This window comes from Homo sapiens, chromosome 1, assembly GCF_000001405.40.
Source record: "Homo sapiens chromosome 1, GRCh38.p14 Primary Assembly".
Taxonomy (NCBI): Eukaryota; Metazoa; Chordata; class Mammalia; order Primates; family Hominidae; genus Homo; species Homo sapiens.
In genome coordinates this window covers 97,910,551-97,929,559 of record NC_000001.11, presented here as the reverse complement: position 1 = coordinate 97,929,559, position 19,009 = coordinate 97,910,551, and the positions used below count along the sequence as shown (strand labels likewise).

At 36.8% G+C, this 19,009-nt stretch overlaps 1 protein-coding gene across 7 annotated transcripts in view, besides 1 other annotated feature; it reads left to right on the top strand.

The window, feature by feature from the left end:
* Nucleotides 8,321-8,720: a silencer, noted in NCBI's record as "silent region_1109". NCBI's record gives its function as "represses an Ori minimal core promoter by ATAC-STARR-seq in GM12878 lymphoblastoid cells {active_cell/tissue: GM12878}" and the evidence as "EXISTENCE:reporter gene assay evidence [ECO:0000049][PMID:35858748]".
* Nucleotides 8,501-19,009, top strand: part of DPYD (dihydropyrimidine dehydrogenase) — an 843,317-nt gene continuing 832,808 nt past the window's right edge. For 6 of the 7 annotated variants that reach the window (XR_001737014.2, XM_047448077.1, XM_017000507.2 and 3 more), the window contains 1 exon segment: nt 8,501-8,676. Coding sequence is in view for 6 of the 7 variants with exons in the window: in XM_047448077.1 (XP_047304033.1) it covers nt 8,638-8,676 (39 nt within the window). In the remaining variant the exon portion in view is untranslated. 7 annotated transcript variants of the gene reach the window in all.

Sequence of the window (19,009 nt, the reverse complement as noted above, 5' to 3'; positions counted from 1 at the left end):
ACCTAAAGATGCACCGAGGTGGGTGCTTTTGGGAAAGTACACAAACATGATGATTTTTATTCCATTTGCTTGTTCAATCAACATATATTTAGAGCACATCTACTTAAATCCAGACACTGTCTAAACTGAGTGATTCAAAGATTAGTAAGGTGTAGTCCTTGCCTTTGAACAGTTCTGTCTGGTGGATGAGACAGACACATAAATGTAGAATATTAAATGCTAATACATAAGTATGAAAAGAGACTATAACCTACAATCTGTTTCATGAGTTTTTTCAAAAACATTTATTGAGCATCTACAATATGCTAGGCACTGGTTCAGACACTGATGATACAGCAGTGAACAAAACAGCCTCAGGGAACTTACATTCTATTAGGAGAAGGCAGGCAATGAGCGCACGCATCACTAAAACAAATAGAATGTCATTTGTATTCTATTGCTAGGGAGAAAAATAAAATAGGAAAAGGGGGGTAGTGAATGTGAGAAATGTGAGCTGCAATTTTAAATATGGTATTCGAGAAGACCTTACTGAGAAGGTGGTCATTATGCAAGTGCTTGAAGCTGATGAAGGGCTATCTGTTGAAATACCTAGTGTGGAATATCAATGCAGACAGAGGGAAGAGCAAGTGGAAAAATCTCTGTGGGTGGAGTTGGAGTAAACAAGAATAGCAGGAATGAGAAGGAGAGAAGAAACAAAAAGCTAGATATATACATACATGTCTTGCAGGCCATTGTACAATTTTTCTACTGAGTGAAATGGGAAGACATAATGGGTTTGGAGTGAGAGACTGACAGGATTGCTGTTTCATAGATTAAATAAATCAAAACATTCAAACAACTATCTTATAATAGGACATTCTCCACATATTTAGATTATTTTGCCTAGTTAAAGCTTAAGGAGTTTGTGCTACTTGCCAATTTCTATAACTCTTAAAAATAATTTGCTCCAGACTGATGATAATTATTTTGCTAATAATGGACTATAGATTATAGACAAATTTGGTATTCAGCTTTTCATGTAAAACACTTCATATAAAAAAATTACAGAATACCTAATATGTATCAAGGGTGGGAGTAATGAGGTTTTTACCCTGCATGCACAAACATACACATTTATAAAAGGTTTTTGTATTGGTCTATCTGCTCAGAGTGCAATGGAGCTTGTAAAATAACTTTTACTTTTTTGTATAATTAACTAATATGTGTTTGTTACTTGTCCATGAATATTTAGATCTTATATCATGTTATTCGATTTATTGATATATATTCTTTATATATATATTTATATATATAATTACCCATGTTTTTTTCTGTTAATATTCTTCTACAACATCATTTCTAATGCCTGCATAAAGTTGAATTATGAATTCACCAGATTAATGTCAGTTATTTATGTATTTTTTATTGAGATGGAGTCTCACTCTGTTGCCAAGCTGGAGTGCAGTGGAGCAATCTCGGCTCACTGTAACCTCCACCTCCGGGGTTCAAGCAATTCTCCTGCCTCAGCCTCCTGAGTAGCTGAGACTACAGGCACGCAGCACCACGCCCAGCTAATTTTTGTATTTTTAGTAGAGACAGGGTTTTACCATGTTGGCCAGGATGGTCTCGATCTCTTGACCTCATGATCTGCCTGCCTTGGCCTCCCAAAGTGCGGGAATTACAGGTATGAGCCACCGTGCCCGGCCAATGTCAGTTATTAATAATCAGTTATCTATCAGTCACCTGTTATAGGGCATATATGCTATTTTATTTTTGCATGAACAACTTCAGAATGAACATATTTTTGGATACATCTTGCAAAAAGAATATTGTTTTCTTAAAAAAATCAGAAATAAAGTTGATGACTCAGAGAAAGCACATATTTACCGTTTGGCTATTGCTATGGTTTAAATGTTTGTGTCCTCCCAAAATTTACATGTTAAAACCTAATCACCAATGTGAGGATATTATGAGGTGGGCCCTTTGAGGGGTGATTAGATCATGAGGGCAGAACTTTCATAAATGGGATTAGTGCCCTTATTAAAGCAACCTGGAGAGTTGCATTGTCCCTTCTGCCATCTGAGGACACAGCGAGAAGGCATCATCCATGAACCGGAGGGTGGGTGCTCGCCAGACACCAAATTTGCCAATGTTTTAATCTTGGACTTCCCAACCTCCAGAATCGGGAGCAGTAAATGTCTGTTTATAAGCTAACCACTTCATGGTATTTAGTTATGGCAGCCAAATAGACTAAGAAAGCTATGTATTGCTCAACTGCCCTGCCTATATACTATACTAAGTTTTTACTCATTATGGAATCTTACGAACCTGTTAATTTTATTGCACCTTCATTTCCTTAAAAAATCTTTGCCAGTTTGATGTGTGAAAAACTCTATGTCATTATAATTTTTTGACATTGCTTTGATTACTGATTGGGTTGACTCAATTTTCACATTTTCATTAACTGCTTGTATTCCCTTTTTTGTGAGTTGGCCATTGATGCCCTTTATCTATTTGTATATCACTGGAAATCTTTTCCCCTTAGGCTTTCTATACTCTCTGCTATGTGGAAAAAGAGTAATGCTAAATAATGATCTGCAATGAAGTTTTAAGATAAAAATATGATAGTTATTCATAATATTTATTTACCTGCTATGTACTAGGTACTATGTTAGGCATGGAGGATAAAAAGATAAGACCCATTAAAAATTATCAAGGATCTTACAGTGTAGGGGTAGTGTAGGGGTAGGGGTAGTGGAAATCATGAAAACAAACTGCAGAACAAGAACAGCACATCGTTCATTATTCAGATGATTAAAAATTGATGATTATAATTTTATGTAGGAAAACAGAATGAGAGCCAGTGACTGAGAGAGGGAAATCCTTCTGGAGTGTAGGTTTTTCTTTCTGGCCTCTGATTAAAAACAGAGATCTGCCTTTTAAGTGCCACAACATGCTAAATTGCAACGGTGTTAATATATGGTAGAAATGTACTATTTTGGTTTCTAATGGCACTTATGATTACCACCCAGGCTAGCATGCACAGGAAATGACTGAGCCCATCTCCAGAAATCACTTGCCTTGGTTGATTTTCACACATTCAACCAAGTGAGTATATGAATATGCAATTACACATACATTGCAATCAGAGTAATACTTCAAAATACACACTTGATCATACCATTCTTCTACTTTAAAAAACTTTCATGGCTTCCCATTTCTTATAGAATGAAGTTCAAAACCCTAAACAAAGACTAAATAAAACATGGCATGCTTATCTTGCAGCTTCACCCTGGGTCACTCTCCCACTAGTTGCTTAAACTCCAGCCATCAGGGCCTTCTTTCCCTGTTGGATATCTCTGACCCTGGAGCTTTTACACTTTGCTCTCCTTTCCCGGAAGTCTTTTAATAACCTCCTTTTGCCTTTTTAACTCTTACGTTGTCCTTTAGGTCTCAGCAGTAAGGCCATTACCTCAAGGACTCCATTGATTTCTCAGGGCCCTCTACTATAACAGCCTTTTGTTTTTCATTGATGTTGCCATTTGCAGTAAATATATTTTTGTGTGATTATTTTGCAAATGTCCATCTCCCTAACTAATCTGCAAAGCGCAGGAGAATAAGAGTTCACTTTTATTTTGCTCATCACGGTACCTCTAGTGTTTTCCACTGAACCTAGCATGTGTTCGGCACATAATTATCAGTGATAAGAATGAATGAACAAATACAGAAACATCTCAGAACAATGAAATAAATGATGAGATTTAAAAATATGGGTTAATTTTTATGTCCAGGCATGATGATAATTAAGCATGTACATTTTACATGCAGTATAGACCATTTGTTAATTAATATACAGAGGTAACAATGCAGCTTAGGTTCACTAGGAAGCAGACTTTGCAATAGAAATGTGTGTGCAGGAAGTATATTCATTATTCAGTGCTGTCTGTATGAGGCCCAGTGAGAGCAAGGAAATGAAGCAGGATGGGCAAAGGGAGAAGCTGAACTCTACAGACGTCCCAACTTATGTCCCAGCTAATCCCTTGAGGGACCTCTGAAGGTGGGATGGCCCCTAAAAGGTGTCTTGAATTGAGGCAAGGGCCCAGCCTTTAAATTCCCACATCAACTGTCATTGGATATCTGCTACCCCAGGAAAGGGCTTGAACTTCCAGTGAGATGTCTCTCTTAGCCAGGGGCAATTTCCAGAGAGGGACTCAGCAGACAGCTGTCAACCACTAACATTCCCAGGAGCTGAGAGAATGAGTGCCTCAGTTTTGAATGGGTTGGGGGATGGGTGGTGATCTGTGAAGCACATCATAACATCTGCTACAGATAACCAAAAGGGAAAATACATACTTTAAGGCAAGGATATGAAGAACTTGCTCAAATGTAAATGAACTAGAAATTATAAAACAATAAAATTCCAGCAATAAAACAAGAAACCACTTTAAATGCCAGTTCTTGGAATTGTGACAATATTAGATGGTGAGAGGAAACCAACAAGGCCAAGGAAAAGACCCCTAAGTAGTAAGGCAAATTATTTCAGGGGACATTCATTCTAAAGGATGTTTTCCCCCACTTTAAGTTAGATAAGTCTATAAACTTTCCCCTTACACTGCATTTTACCCAAAATCTTTCATAGGCAATCATGCATTAATGACATTTTTCTAGAACGTGGGAACGTGGGCATTGAAAGATTATATCTTTAAATTTGTAATATTTAATTTATATGACACTGTTCAATTTACAAAATACTATTGCATATATTTTGACATCTGACTCTCATAGTAATCCATTCAGTTAAACCACTCATTTAAAATCACTAAGCGGCAATTTTTGTTTTTCATTTAGTGGCTAAAGGTTTGTGGTAACAGAGACAATGTCTCTATTGTCCACTGAGATGTCACTAATGCTTATGACAGTGTCTGAAACAATTGTACTCAATAAATAATTGCTAAATAAATTTATGGGAGAGGTTTGTAGTTTCTCTGTGTTATCTGTGCTTTTTATGGCATTTACATAATACATGCTGATATACTGCATATCTATATATGCAATATGATAGACATGTAGTTGAGCACATTATACTGTTTGTTCCATGAAATATGAACCAACGTATTCCTTTTGGTCTTTTTAACAGGAATGCTGGAAATATTTGGGCCTAACTGATCTTTAGTCATTATCCTACTGGTCAATATGGGTAGGAATTAATTTGGCCCTTGAAAATCAGACAGCGGAAAAAATGCACCTCATGATCATTCAGCCTCTGACTTTTTGGGAGGAAATCATTTTCAAAGAAATGTCCCCCACCAAAAAAAATCTCTTAATGCTACACTGCAAAGGGAAAATAAAGGCATATGGAAATCTGAATTTTTGTTGTGTTTCTAAATTTGTAATATTGAATAACTTTTTAGATGTGAAATTAAAGATGACTCATAAGTCCTACTTCTGACTTTGGTAGTAATAATATTCATTTATGTACTGTAAACTATTAGGTTCAAACATAAGCTGTTTCTCCAAAGCCTACAAAAAATTAATGTGGAACACCTGATATTTCACTGTGCTTCCAGATGGAGGGACAGCTTGACAAACGCCATCATAATTTACAACTTTTAAAAAGTGTGGTGCAAATGCATTTGCAGTAAAAGCTTTAAACAGCTTGCATTATTTACAGGTACAACTGTGCTTAATGTGCAATTTCAATGAATTTAAAATATTATTAGATTAAATCACTGATCACAGAGCATAGGTGTGGCACGTGAGCAATGTGATTAGATGCCTTAATTAATATGTCAGAACAGGATACATCTGTTTGATGAAGTTGGGGGGGATGGTAAATAGCATTTAAATTTTATATTTGATTATTGACTATCACCGATGAAACTCTTATCTTTGGAAAACCACCGTATATTGGACTTATCCTCTATAGTTGTTTAGGAGAATTATAACAGAAAACGAATATGAAAATACACTGTATAACTCTTAAAGATAACTTGGATTCTTGTACACATAAATTAACTATCAATTGCTAACTGATAAGATGTATGTTAAAGTGTAACCTGAAAGAGCAATAAGCCTGTATCCCTGTAAGTTAGGAAATTGAACATTGAACCTGACTGATTAAATTGGGGAAGAAATCATATGTATTATAATTATATATATTATATTTGTAAATTTATATATGTTTATATGTGTATATCTTTTCTCAATATATACATATGTGTGTATATGTATGTATGTATTTGGGTGTTTATATGTGTATTTATATATATAGACTGATAGAAAAATAGATATAGATAGATTTATCTATCTCTCTATATCTCCAAGAGGATCTAGAGTAAGTGGGTAAGGTGTGGTTGTAGGGAGATGCAGGAACATCTGACTTTGGAACATTACTCCATGAAAAGATAAGTAGTTATTTTGACCCATTTTAACTACAAATTCATTGATAGATATTGTGACCTATTTCTCAGCAGTAAGTAGGACAATGAGAATATGTGATGCAGAGAAACTAAAGTTTCTAAAATGAACTGCCCAGTGTATAAACGAATGTACTCTGTTCATTCAATCACCAAGTGTTCTTGGTCTCTTATGCTTCAGTCCTGAGCTAGGAACTGAGTATCCAGTAAACAATAAAAGTACACATGGGCCCCCTCTTCCTGGAGCTTCCTCTCTAAATAGAAGACATATATTAAATGAATCACATTCAAATAAATATTTAAACAACATTTGAAAAGTCTATGAAGACGAAATATAATGAAAAAGACAGAGTGGGTGTAATTTTGTTGGTGATGGGGTTAGATCATAAAGGCTTCAGTGAGACCTAAATGATGAGTAGAAGGGGAAGAAGAGCTCCAAGTGGAGGGCAATGTGCAAAGGTAGAGAAGTGGATGGAGGATGAGAAGATTACCTTGTGGTTGGAACATAATGAGTCAGGGCAAGAGTGGCGGAGAAGCGGAGTAGAGCAGGTTATTCAGCGGTTACTAGGGAGTTTGTATTATATTCTGACTGCAATGGACCATTGAAGGATTTATACCATGGGTACCTGGGTGTGTGGATGTATCGTTGTATGGCATGAGCCAGTTAATACTTTCTAAAGCTCAATCTGGTATGGATATGAGGTAAGAATAGAAGCTAGAATACCAGTAGCTTGGACCATGGTGGATGCAGCAAAATGGAGAAATGAATGATTCAAAATCTATTTAGGAGGTTGACTTCTGAGAGTTTGGGCATAGATTAAATGAGGCAATAAGGATAAAGGAGTCAAAGATGATTCTAAGGTTTCCATTTAACTTTCTAGTGTCTGTTAATATTTGATTCAAGAAAAATGTATCTGTCTTTTAGTAATTTCCAGGTTCTGGAAGGTAATCTGATGGTTTGTTCAGAGAAGCCTTCTCAACCACGCAAGGTACCCATACCCTAGTTATTCTGTCCTATTTTTCTTTTATCTTACAAGCAGGCATCACATTTTCTTACTTGCTTATTTTGAGTATAATCTCCATGACAGTGATGTGTATTCTTGAAGACTATATCCGGAGAACCTAGCACAGTGTCTGTGTCTGGCATATTGAAAATGCTCAATAAACATATTCGTTGAATAAAACGATGAATGGACTAATGAAAAAATAATAAGGGAGAAATACTTGACTCCAAGGTGTCACTACCTAGCCAAGTGCATGAAGGAGTGCCGCAAATGTCCTAACGGAAGTAGAAAGTGTTATGGTAGAAGAGAGGTGGGATGCATCTAACAGGGGTGGGGGGGGGGCGGGGAGAAAAGGAGAGAGGTCTGGAGTACACATATCCTCAAAAAACGAGGTGAATGTTTTCTGGATTGGGACCAACTCTACAGGAAATCTCTCCCTTCTCCTCAGCAAGCTCTAGAGCAAAAACGAAGAGCAACTTTTCAAAAGAGTTTCACGTTTTAGAATAAAAAATATTTAAAAAAATAACCATTAAAATGAGACTTTCCTGCAAAAAGACAACCTTGATTATGTACCACCTGCAGCACTTCCTGTATGCTGCTGCGGGCTGTGGATGTTTTTGCTCGCCTCCCTCCCCTCCCCGCTGGGGCTGTGAACTCTCAGAAGACCGGTGCTTTGGTATCCTCCACTGCAGCTCAAACCCCGCCCACCTACTTGGTGGATGGATGGAGGAACATCTACTATTTCATCCTTGAGGAGTTCCTGAAAATGCAGTTGCCCCTCAAACAATGTATCTACATCTCGCGGGGTTTCTGTGGAAGAAAAGAAAAAGTGCAAGTTGTTGCTTGGAGCGCGGACTGCTTTTACCTTTGCCTGGGGATCCCTCCTATCTGGCCCCGCCTGCCTAGCTCTGTTTTTAGCAGTTTAGAGATTAAAGGCCAGTCCCCAGAGCGGGTGCTCTACTCCCTCCCTCCCTTCTGCTTGCAGGCTGGGGCGCGGAGCGGGCTGAACTGGGAAGGCCGGGCTGCGGCTGCCGTGCCTGGCGCGGGAGCCGCAGGACCGAGAGCGCAGCCCCGCCCCGGGGGCGTTGCCGCCCCGCGCCCGCTCCGCCCCCGCGCCGCCGGCCCTAGTCTGCCTGTTTTCGACTCGCGCTCCGGCTGCTGTCACTTGGCTCTCTGGCTGGAGCTTGAGGACGCAAGGAGGGTTTGTCACTGGCAGACTCGAGACTGTAGGCACTGCCATGGCCCCTGTGCTCAGTAAGGACTCGGCGGACATCGAGGTACGGACTTCGCGCCGGCTCGTCGGTGGTGGCGGGGTGGTGGGGAGTGCTCTGCGGGTAGGTGCCGGGGAGGCCCCCGCGGCCCCCGCACCCCGGAGAGTGAGAGACGCGGGAAAGTTTCCCCCGTGGGAGCTCTGCGGGGGAGCGGAGGAGCGCGGAGCCACAGGCCCGCGTGGGCAGGCGGGGAGCTCAGGGGAGGACTTTCCGCTACTGGAGGGGTTGCCCTTTGCGTCGGGACCTGTTTACTTCGGAAGAGATTTCAGGAAGCCTGTCTTGTCCTCCTCTGAATGTCAGTGACTGAAGAAGCACTGGAGTTCCAGAGAGGTGGACTCTAGGGGGTAGGAGTGCCCATTTCCCACACGTTCTACCCCTTCACCTCCTGTATGTCGTTTCTGGACACCTCCACTGCCCCCATTTCCAATAGCTGAATCCTGCTATTTGCAAAGGTGAAGCATAGAAATAAAACATCTGTGTGTCAGCTGTAGCAGTCGCCTCTAGTCATAGTATTGTTTATGAAATAATTTAACATGGAGAGAATGGAACGAAGTATTCAGAACATGAAAAATGCAGTGCCCTCAGAAAAACTAACTGTATTTTTCTCTCCTCTCAACGGTTTTTGATTCCCTCTTGCACTCCGTTTCTGTTAAAAAAAATCTTTTTTTATGTAAATAAGGTCCTACCTGAAACGACATGGCATTTCCTTTCTCTCTAGTATCTTAATATATGCGATGAAAAGGATTTAATTATCAACAGTGATTTTACACATACTAAACCTAGGTCAGCACTTTTGAGCTAAGACAAACTGATTTTTAGTTTTCTGTTTTGTTTGGGGCTTTTCTTTATTTGAGTCTTCTACTCTGGTAGAAAATTATGTGTGTGTGTGTTTTCTTTAGAAATAACAAAATTTTCCTTTCGTCAGTCCTTTTGGCGGCTTAAGTAAAAGTTTTGCAAACCACCTGTTTGCAAAATAGCTGCTTTTGCCACATTTTGCCTCCGTAATTGAAGAAACTTTATATTCTGGGAGGAAGTAGTCCTGTTTTCTCCAGGCTCCATAACTTGGTTTGAAAAATCATTTTAGTAACAAGAGCCAAAGTGTATTATGTGGACATCTCTGGTTAGTTTACTTTTGGTTTCTGTTTTGGAGAGTTGACTTTTTGATATTGAGCAATATGATATATTTAACAAATAGTTGTTCATCTGTGTGCAGGATAATAGATACTTGTCTTTTTCTATATTTCATTTAGGGTAGTCTATTCCTTTTTGGTCCTTGTGACTTTGACTTAACTTTTTAAAAAATTTTATTTACTAAGTCGAAAAACAAGCTTCTGACAGTATTAAGGCAGTATTGATTTAAGATATCGGAGTTGACTTAGGATGGGTGGCTTTTGGCTCTTTAATTTCAGAATGGTGTGTTATCTGCTTAACTGATTTCTTTCTCTGCAGTTGTCTTCGAAATCAGTTCTTACATTCTACTGAGGAGAAAGATGCCAGTGAAACATTGAATGCCAAGCTTGATTTCATATATTGTTTCAACTAAGAACATTTAAGAAGCCCATCCTTCCCACTCCCTCCACTCAATTCAACCTTAGTCTATATGGCCAGTTTGCCTAATATTACTTTTAATCTAGATTGCTGGTGTTCAAACACCTTCAGCTCTTATGTAGTTCATATGTGCAACACTTTAATCAGTAACATCTTTCATCACTCACAGCACCTTACTTTTCCCTCAAAGTAATACCCGTGATTCATGAGCTAGAATACCATGAAAGAGCATGAAATTAATCATTAAAATATAATGCAGTGAGGAAAAATACATTAAGCTTAGGGGAGCACATTCAAGCATAAATGCCTCAGTTGATCCTATTGATTTACCAAAGTTCATTTTTGTGTTGAAGAATTAGAATGAATTATAAAGGCTCAGTTTTCCATCAAATTTGAATGCTTTTCTTGAACAAATTCATTACAACCATTGTCTAGAGATCTGATTGTGATCATTGTTTTAGCTTCAAATACATGGATAAGCAAGTAATATTTTAAAAATATTGGTATGAAGCAGTTAATGAATGTGATAAGAACACATTGATAAATGTGAAAAGTACTTGACAATTGTTAAAAGAACAGAAGGTGATGATAACAACCTACTCTAATAGTGACTGACTTTTCCCTATGAGCTAACTACAGAACCTCAGGTTTCAGTGAAACAGCCAAGAAATATCTTTGTTTCTGGGGGAAAAGTTATTGAGGTATATATAAAGGTGCTTTGTGTGCCTGCTTCATAATTTCTAGTCTGAATCCAATATCACATCAGGATTTGACGGTTAGGAACATGGAAAACAATCAGATCACCAAACTCCATAGCTGGAATATCCCTGGGCTGGGAGATAGGCAAGGAAAGGATGTGTTACTTGGTAATAGGACCTAGCTCATTACTCAGAATTGTTGTTGTTGTTGTTGTAATCATAGAAGTTGCATGAGAAATCATGTTTTTTTTCAGATATATTAATGTGGTTCAGAGCCTGGCTTCTGAAACCAACTGCCTCTGATTGAGGTCTAACTTTAAGCTGTGTGTTTGGGCAAGTTAGCCTCTCTGAATTGCACATGGAAAATCTGCTAAGGATAATAAACAAATGTCACAAGTTGACAGCATCTTGTTGGGAAAAAGGACAAAAATGTTAAAAAATAAAGATAACAGAAAAATATATCTTATTCTCAGGAAAATCACTTCCAATGAAATGATTAGCATTTTAAAGTCCGTTAATAGTAGTTATATGCTTTTAGAAGTTATTTTGCTTTGTGAGTGTACTGTTTGGATACAGTCTGAATTTTGTCAACGATGACTTTAATACAAACTCTCCTGGGATGGTTTCAAAGAAGGTTAGTATTGGACATTGGTCACTTTCCCAGGCCTCAGCAGTAACTTAACAGCACTTCTTCATTTAGATTGAATTTACAGCCAGTATATTGTGAATATCTGCACACTTGAAAGGAAATGAGAATTATTTTGAAACAGTACTCTTTTGTTCAAGACCTTGTTCCCCTCCACCGGCAAGGATAATGAGAATAGACTTTGAAAGTATATATATCTAAACGAAATGTATGCAGCTGCAGCAAGCTTTTAACTATTTGAATACTAGTACTTTTGATATATATTTGTAGCCAAACCAAGTTGCTATCTGTTACTGTACTGCTACCACAGTCACAATCACAAGGCCCATTCCTTGAATGATCAGTTAGTGAATGTTAAAGGGTTATAAACTTAATTCACATTTACCCTAAATGAAAAAGGGATTTTAGTCCATTGTCCACAAAATCAAATGCATTTTAAGTCAAACAGAAATGGTTTCGGAATTACTGATACTGTGACTTCTATTCATTTGAAAAGGTAATTGGGAATTTTCTGTATGATTAACTAGGAAAATGAGATTAAAAATAGCGAATTTGGAAAATAGAAGCATAATGGGAAAGACTTGGAGAAAGTGGACTTTACAAATTTTGAAACAAGGAAAGTCATGGGTTATAAATTGGCAGAGATGGCAAAAAAATTTTCAGAACATCTTTTATCATAATTGCCTTTGCTGCTGGGGAGGAAGGAGAATCATGGATCCAAAAAAGATAATAAAGATTCCACTTTATACAAAGCCATGAGTTGTTTATTGATTTAAATGGATATATTTTTACTGAATGTGTAAGCATCAGTCATTTCTTTTCTCCTTCCTTTTATTGACTGGGCACTGCAGATCTTTTGGAAATATATTCTTAAATAAATTAAGACTTTTAAAGCTTTAACTTTTTAAAACTATTTTGTGAGTTAGAGTTGTTGAAAACATGCTTGTACTTCCTACTTTAAGCTGTTTTGTGGGCCATAGTTTTACTTTAAAGTGTTTCTCCTTTCTAAGGAGTTTAGCTGGATAGTAGAAATGTGTCTGATTATCTGATTTGAGGAGTCACTGATTCTAATGGTAGCTTCCTGTAGTTTTAAGGTACTGCATATTTCTGTAGTTGAGTGTGTTGATATGTGTTTCAGTGCAGTTTTTTAAAATAGAGATGGGGGTCTCAGTATATTGCCCGGGCTGGCCTTGTACTCTTGGGCTCAAGCGAACCTTTCAGCTTGGCCCACCAAAGTTGTGGGCAGTTTAAAGAAAAATTCTATCCTTTGCATATGAATTCAGATGAATAGTTTTGGTAGTTTAATTAAAATCTGGGAGATTAATGACTAATGATGGATCTTGATGGAGGGTGATTTTTAGATTGGATCTGCTTAATCTTAATGATAGCAAATGGTGTTGACTGATTGCTTAATTGTAAAGTGTGCTGGAATTTGGTAGCCTCCTTTGTTACATTCTAGAAGAAAAATTCACTTTTAAAAAGATTATGAGTTCATATCCTTTGTAGGGACATGGATGAAGCTGGAAACCATCATTCTCAGCAAACTATCACAAGGACAAAAAACCAAACACCGCATGTTCTCACTCATAGGTGGGAATTGAGCAATAAGAACACATGAACACAGGAAGGGGAACATCACACACCGGGGCCTGTTGTGGGGTCGGGAGGAGGGATAGCATTTGGAGATATACCTAATGTTAAATGACGAGTTACTGGGTGCAGCACACCAACATGGCACATGTATATATATGTAACTAACCTGCACGTTGTACACATGTACCCTAAAACTTAAAGTATAATAATAAAAAAAGATGAATATTAACAGTAAGGAATTGATAAGGACACTAAGAAGATCTAGAGTCAAAATACTGATTCAGTTATGGAAGATCTTTAAGCAATCATACCTTTCTTTAACTATTTGAATACAGCATCTTACCAAACTCTGTATAAACTGGCAACAACACAAGGGCTGAAAGCTGGAACCCCTAGTAAAATAAAGATGTCTGATCACTGTGGGAGAATTCTAATAATTAGCGTAAATGTAAGTAATAGTTTGGAACACTAAAACTAGAAGACAATGAGACTGAAAAAAGATTGTCGTAAAATATCATGACAAAGAAAATCTGATGAGATTTGATATAATCCAGGCTTCAATACAGCTAAAGAGGAGATCAAAATGGAGGATTGGCCAATTTATTTTTCTGCCTCTCAGCTGTATGAATGCATGACAAATATGTTGCAGAGCCCTTCAGTCCTTAAAACTGTAAAGAAAATTTTATTTTGTTTATATTCCACCTTAATTAAAAATATTTAATAAGGCATTGTAAGATTACACCTTTATCTATAATTGGGACTTTGATTTTAAAATGTGACATATTTACCTTCTGGACTTCATTTGCTCATAATCCTCCATATCAAGACAGAAGGTGTTTTTGGCCTCAAATATCAGTCATGTGGGTGTTCACTGATATCCTGGAGCCAATTATACTACTGAGATAACTCTTAATAGGATTATGTCTTTCCTGTGGTTTATAATTATTACTGCTTCCATTGCTTTTAATTAAAATGTTACACTAGTACATATGAAACATCTGCATTCAAACTCAACATATAACTTTTAGCCAGTTCACCATGAATACATATATATTTATATGTATTGAGGAATTAAGTACTTTTATATGAAGTTATTTATTTTGTATCTCCCCAAATCAAGCTTCCTTTCATGGTTAGTACAAAAAGAAAACATTGTATTTAAACAGACCTGGGTTAGAATCCTGGCACTATTTTATTTTATTTGTGTGACTGTGGTCAGCTTCTTTCTTGGACTGCCATTTCTTCTTCTGTGAATTGAATTTAATCCTATGTATTTCATGCAATAGCTATAAGGATTAATTGGAGTCACATACACAAAATGCTTCAGACAGCATTTGTCACATAAATATATGCTTTTTTAATTGGTTACACTTATTTTAAATGTTATTACTGCGTCTATCATGTACATTATATAAACATCAATTGGCAAGAATTTGTTTTTGCTCTAGTAATCAACTAGTGGTATTGAAGTCTGTTAGAATCTATGAGAAAGGGAGGAGTTAATGAAGTTAAAAGATTATGAAAGAGGTGCATTATAGATTTATAAATGTTGCATATATCTATTGTGAAAAAGTTACTGAATTAACATTTGTCAATATTATGAGGGAGATTGGGGAGTTTCTGAAATTCAGATCAATTTAAAGAGACCCATTTCATTTCATTTCTGTCTAAAAATATGTTTTTAGTACCTGTTGTACTGCGAGCCCACTGGTGTAAGTTTCAGATGGTACAAAGGAAGTATATGGCCTAGGTTTTGTTTATACATGACTATTCACATCTATTACGTAGGTTAATAAGATTCAAATCCAGGCTAGCCCCATCCTTTTTTTACTGCAACATACATATGGATTGATTCTTCTGTGTTTTTCTGAGTGTTTTTGAGACTAGATCAGGGCTAATGCATAGGTGAAAATTATTTTTTGGCATTCTCATAGAAATGTAGAAGGCATTTGACATTAATTTTTTTCTGAAAAGAAATTCCTACATAATTAAAACAAACCCTTGTATTTCCATGTGCTAACTGGAGTAAACTCATCTTCTTTCTAAGCAAACATATTAGCTTCAAAAACAATTTTTTTCTAAACTTTTAAGCATCCCTAAACACACTGCATTTGCTTATGAATAACTCTTTTAGCTCCTAGGAAACAGTTGGTTGGAGATAACCTATTTTGCACCAGGAAAAGGTAAAGTGTGATCTTACTGAGAGATGACTCATATATTACACTTTTTATACTAGCTATAATAATTTCATTTCTTTGAGAATTTTACCTTGGCTGTGTAACAGCATTTTTGCTAGACTTTACCTCCATCATAATAATTAAAGAGACAATCTGTGTCCCTACCTCCCAGGTGCTTGGAAATTGATATTATAAGCACTTATGAATGTCCCCTTGAGGCACTCTTGACTGAGCCACTTTGAAGAAAAATCTCTTCATCAATAATTAATCCCTGAGGGCCACTTCTCAGGGGACCCACACAAAATTACATGTCAACTCCAGGCCTGATTTATATAGGAGGCGATCATGGATGGAGCCCTGACTGCACTTCCTCCTCCCCCCCATGTTTTATTCCTCACCTCTCTCTGCTGGTTCTCCTCCACCTCAACCCCTCAAAGCCCCCAGCACTTTTACTTCTCTCCCAAAACTTTATCCTCCAACTTACAACTCAGTGTACCTACACAGAATTGACTCACCCGGTAGATCTTAATCTTTATGAAATTCTTTAAGACTGACATGAAAAATTGTAGCATGTTAAAATTTATAGAAACATTACCATGCCTAATGAAAAGGTCGTGTGAAAATTGCCAGCAAAATAGTAGAATGTGTATTTACTATTTGTTAATTAAAATAAGTACATTTCCCAAGATACAGGATAAGCCTGGGGATAATTTTGCTCTATGCCATAGATCCCTTGCTCTCTGACCTTGTGGGAATCATTCAGCCACTGTGAAGAGTTTTCTGATCTTCAGTGAGTTTGCTGTTGATCAGTCTTTTAAGGATGGTTTGAAATAAAATATGGCAATGGTGAAATTGTTTGGAAATGTGACCTGGTGTGTGTTCATATTAAGGAAATGCTGAGATATTGGCTCCTCGATTTACATACTTGGTAGGATTGAGTGTACTATTTATACCAGCTGTATGAATTTCATGTGCTTATTCACCTGATTTTAAACTTTTTTAATGTCTGCTTGCTGCCTTTTCTTTTTTAATCTGATGAAGTAGCTAAATCTAAATTTCGCCTGAGAATACAAGAAAAGTTCAATCGTACTATATATGGCTGGAGTTCTGTGTAAGGGTGATCTGGAATTAACAAATTTACATTTTGTATGTTTAGGATTATGCTGTCTTTAACTAGAAATTAAGACCAGAGATTCGAAAAAGGAGATGGGACTCTTTATGCCAATTTCTTCAGTGTGTTTGTTGATTGATGATTGTAGGTGAAAACCATGGCATAAGCAATGGGGTCCCCAGAATTCAAGCTATACTAATCTGACTCCTTGTACCACAGTGACCTGAGAGCTTTGCGGGACTTCTTTCAGATATTTCTCTATGCCAAATATTGAGGAGTGCTGGGGTAAAAATTTAAACTTCTCCACAGTTCAAAGAAGAAAGGCATTCAGTTCCCCTTACAGATCTCTAGGGGTAACGTGTGTTACCGTTCACCACAAAATGTTCATTCCTGTTAACTTTTAGTGTAACCTTAGTGTAATAAAAGTGTTAACTTTTATTATGCTTTATTTCCCCGATTTGATTTTTAAATTATTTTTCATGATTATTACAGAAGATTTAAAACATACAAAAAACTAAAATCAAAAGATGACCCCAAAGATACATAGTCATCCCACTCAAGTCATCCACGTAATATTGATGTAGTACATTTCTTTCCTGTGCACGAGGTAATCTTTCCCTAAATACTTTTAGTCATATATAATTTGATATTTGTTTTCTTGTCCTATCAAAAGCATTTCTTTATATTCATATTAACTTCAGTTTTAAGTCACGGCGTAACATTCCTTGTGAGTGGAGATATCAAAATGTATTCAAGCCTCTCTCTTATTATCATACATTTACCTTGTTTTTTAGTAGTCAGTTATTAAGAACAATGTTTCAGCACAATTTTTTTTTATTTGCTTAAAGCATTGTGCTGGAAATACACTTGAGAGTGTTGGCTCAATGATATATAGTGCATTTTGGTTCTGCCGTTCTCGTTTGCATGCTTCAACTGAATTAAGTGTCTTTAAAAATATGTTTTAAAAAAGGAAAAGGGGACCATTTTGGGGTGCAAAGACAGAAGGAGCAAAATGGAAATGGAACCAGTTTAACCGTTTGCCTCATCTTCCTAACACTGATTCTAGGTAACAGAACGGGCAGGCATCTGGATGTAGTTCCCTTTGATGTGGATGTGACTTCCTTTTAACTCAGTGCTGATAATAGCGTTTCTTTCTGGAGAATGGCTTGACAGCGTGCATGGTTCCTAATTTTTTCTGCCCTGGGAGAAAAGGAAGAGTAAGGTTGGACCTCAGGTTGTTATCTTGGATGGAACATTCATAAACCTCAGATTATTGTCGTGAATGGATAAATCTCAGGTTGTTATCTAGAATGAGTAAATGTAATACTAACTGCAGCTGTCTCATTATGTGATGGAAACTTTTATATTATCCCAGCCTTCTCACCCTCACCCCAAGAACAAACCACTCTGGCAGACCAGATTCTCAAAGAATTATTTTATCCTAGCCTGCCTTTACTTTGAAGTATGGGTTGTCATGTGTGTGCATGTGCATATGCACTAGCATGTGTGTGTACATTTTCTTTTTTTTTTCTTCCTGGTACTCAGAGAAGAAAGGGTCCGTGAGTGTAACTACTTTTGACTCAACACATTTTTCTCCCACATACAAATTAAATGAAGCAAAACATACTTCTTCCTTGGGTGTGCCAACCAAAATGACTCTTGATTTTTGCTACATTTTAAAGCTAAAGTTTACTTGCAACCCAGACTCCAGACATTGGTATGCTTAAGGCTCTGTCTTTTCTGAAAGAGATAAAAACATTTGCAGAGAAAAATTTGTATGTAGCTCATGAAAATTAGTGCCCATCACCCCTTTCATTCCAAGACTGGACAGTAAGAAACAAAACTTAAGCATCCTTTATGCTTAAGATCACAATATTATAGGATCCTAGAAGGGAATCATCAATGGTAGGTATGACTACTTTAAGGATTTGAAATATTTTCAAGTTGATGTCTACATAGTACTACTAATTAATATAGCTGCTAGCAGCTGTATGAGTATGTATAAAATGATACCCTTTCAAGTGTTAATAAAAATTATTTTTTAAATAAACAATTAGGTGAAACTTTTGTGTGATTCGTTTAATTTGTATTTGTTTGAATATTGGTAAATTTTAAACATTTTTCCACATTTTAAAATATTTTGGGTTTTATTTTAAACAAATTATTTTAACAACATTTTAATGTAAGAGTAAAATAAAAAAATGTAAATAAGAATACAAATAAGAAAAGTAGAAGTATAACAGATTTTAAGAAAACTAGATGCTAATGTATCATGAGATCACAACAAAATGAATGTTATCTTGGAAACATAAAATCTCCCCAAACCTCAGATAAATTCAGAAACAGCAGTAGACTGATAACCTCTGTCCTTTATAATATTTATTGATGATGAGTAACAGATAATTAATATTTAGTCTGATTGTAGTGGAAGGACAGCATAGATTTGTGGTTAAGAGTATAGACTCTGGAATTAGAGTGCTAATGTTCACAGCCTAGCTCTGCCACTTACTAGTTTTGACCTTGGCAAATAACTTAAACATTTTTTGTTTCAGTTTTCTCATTGTAA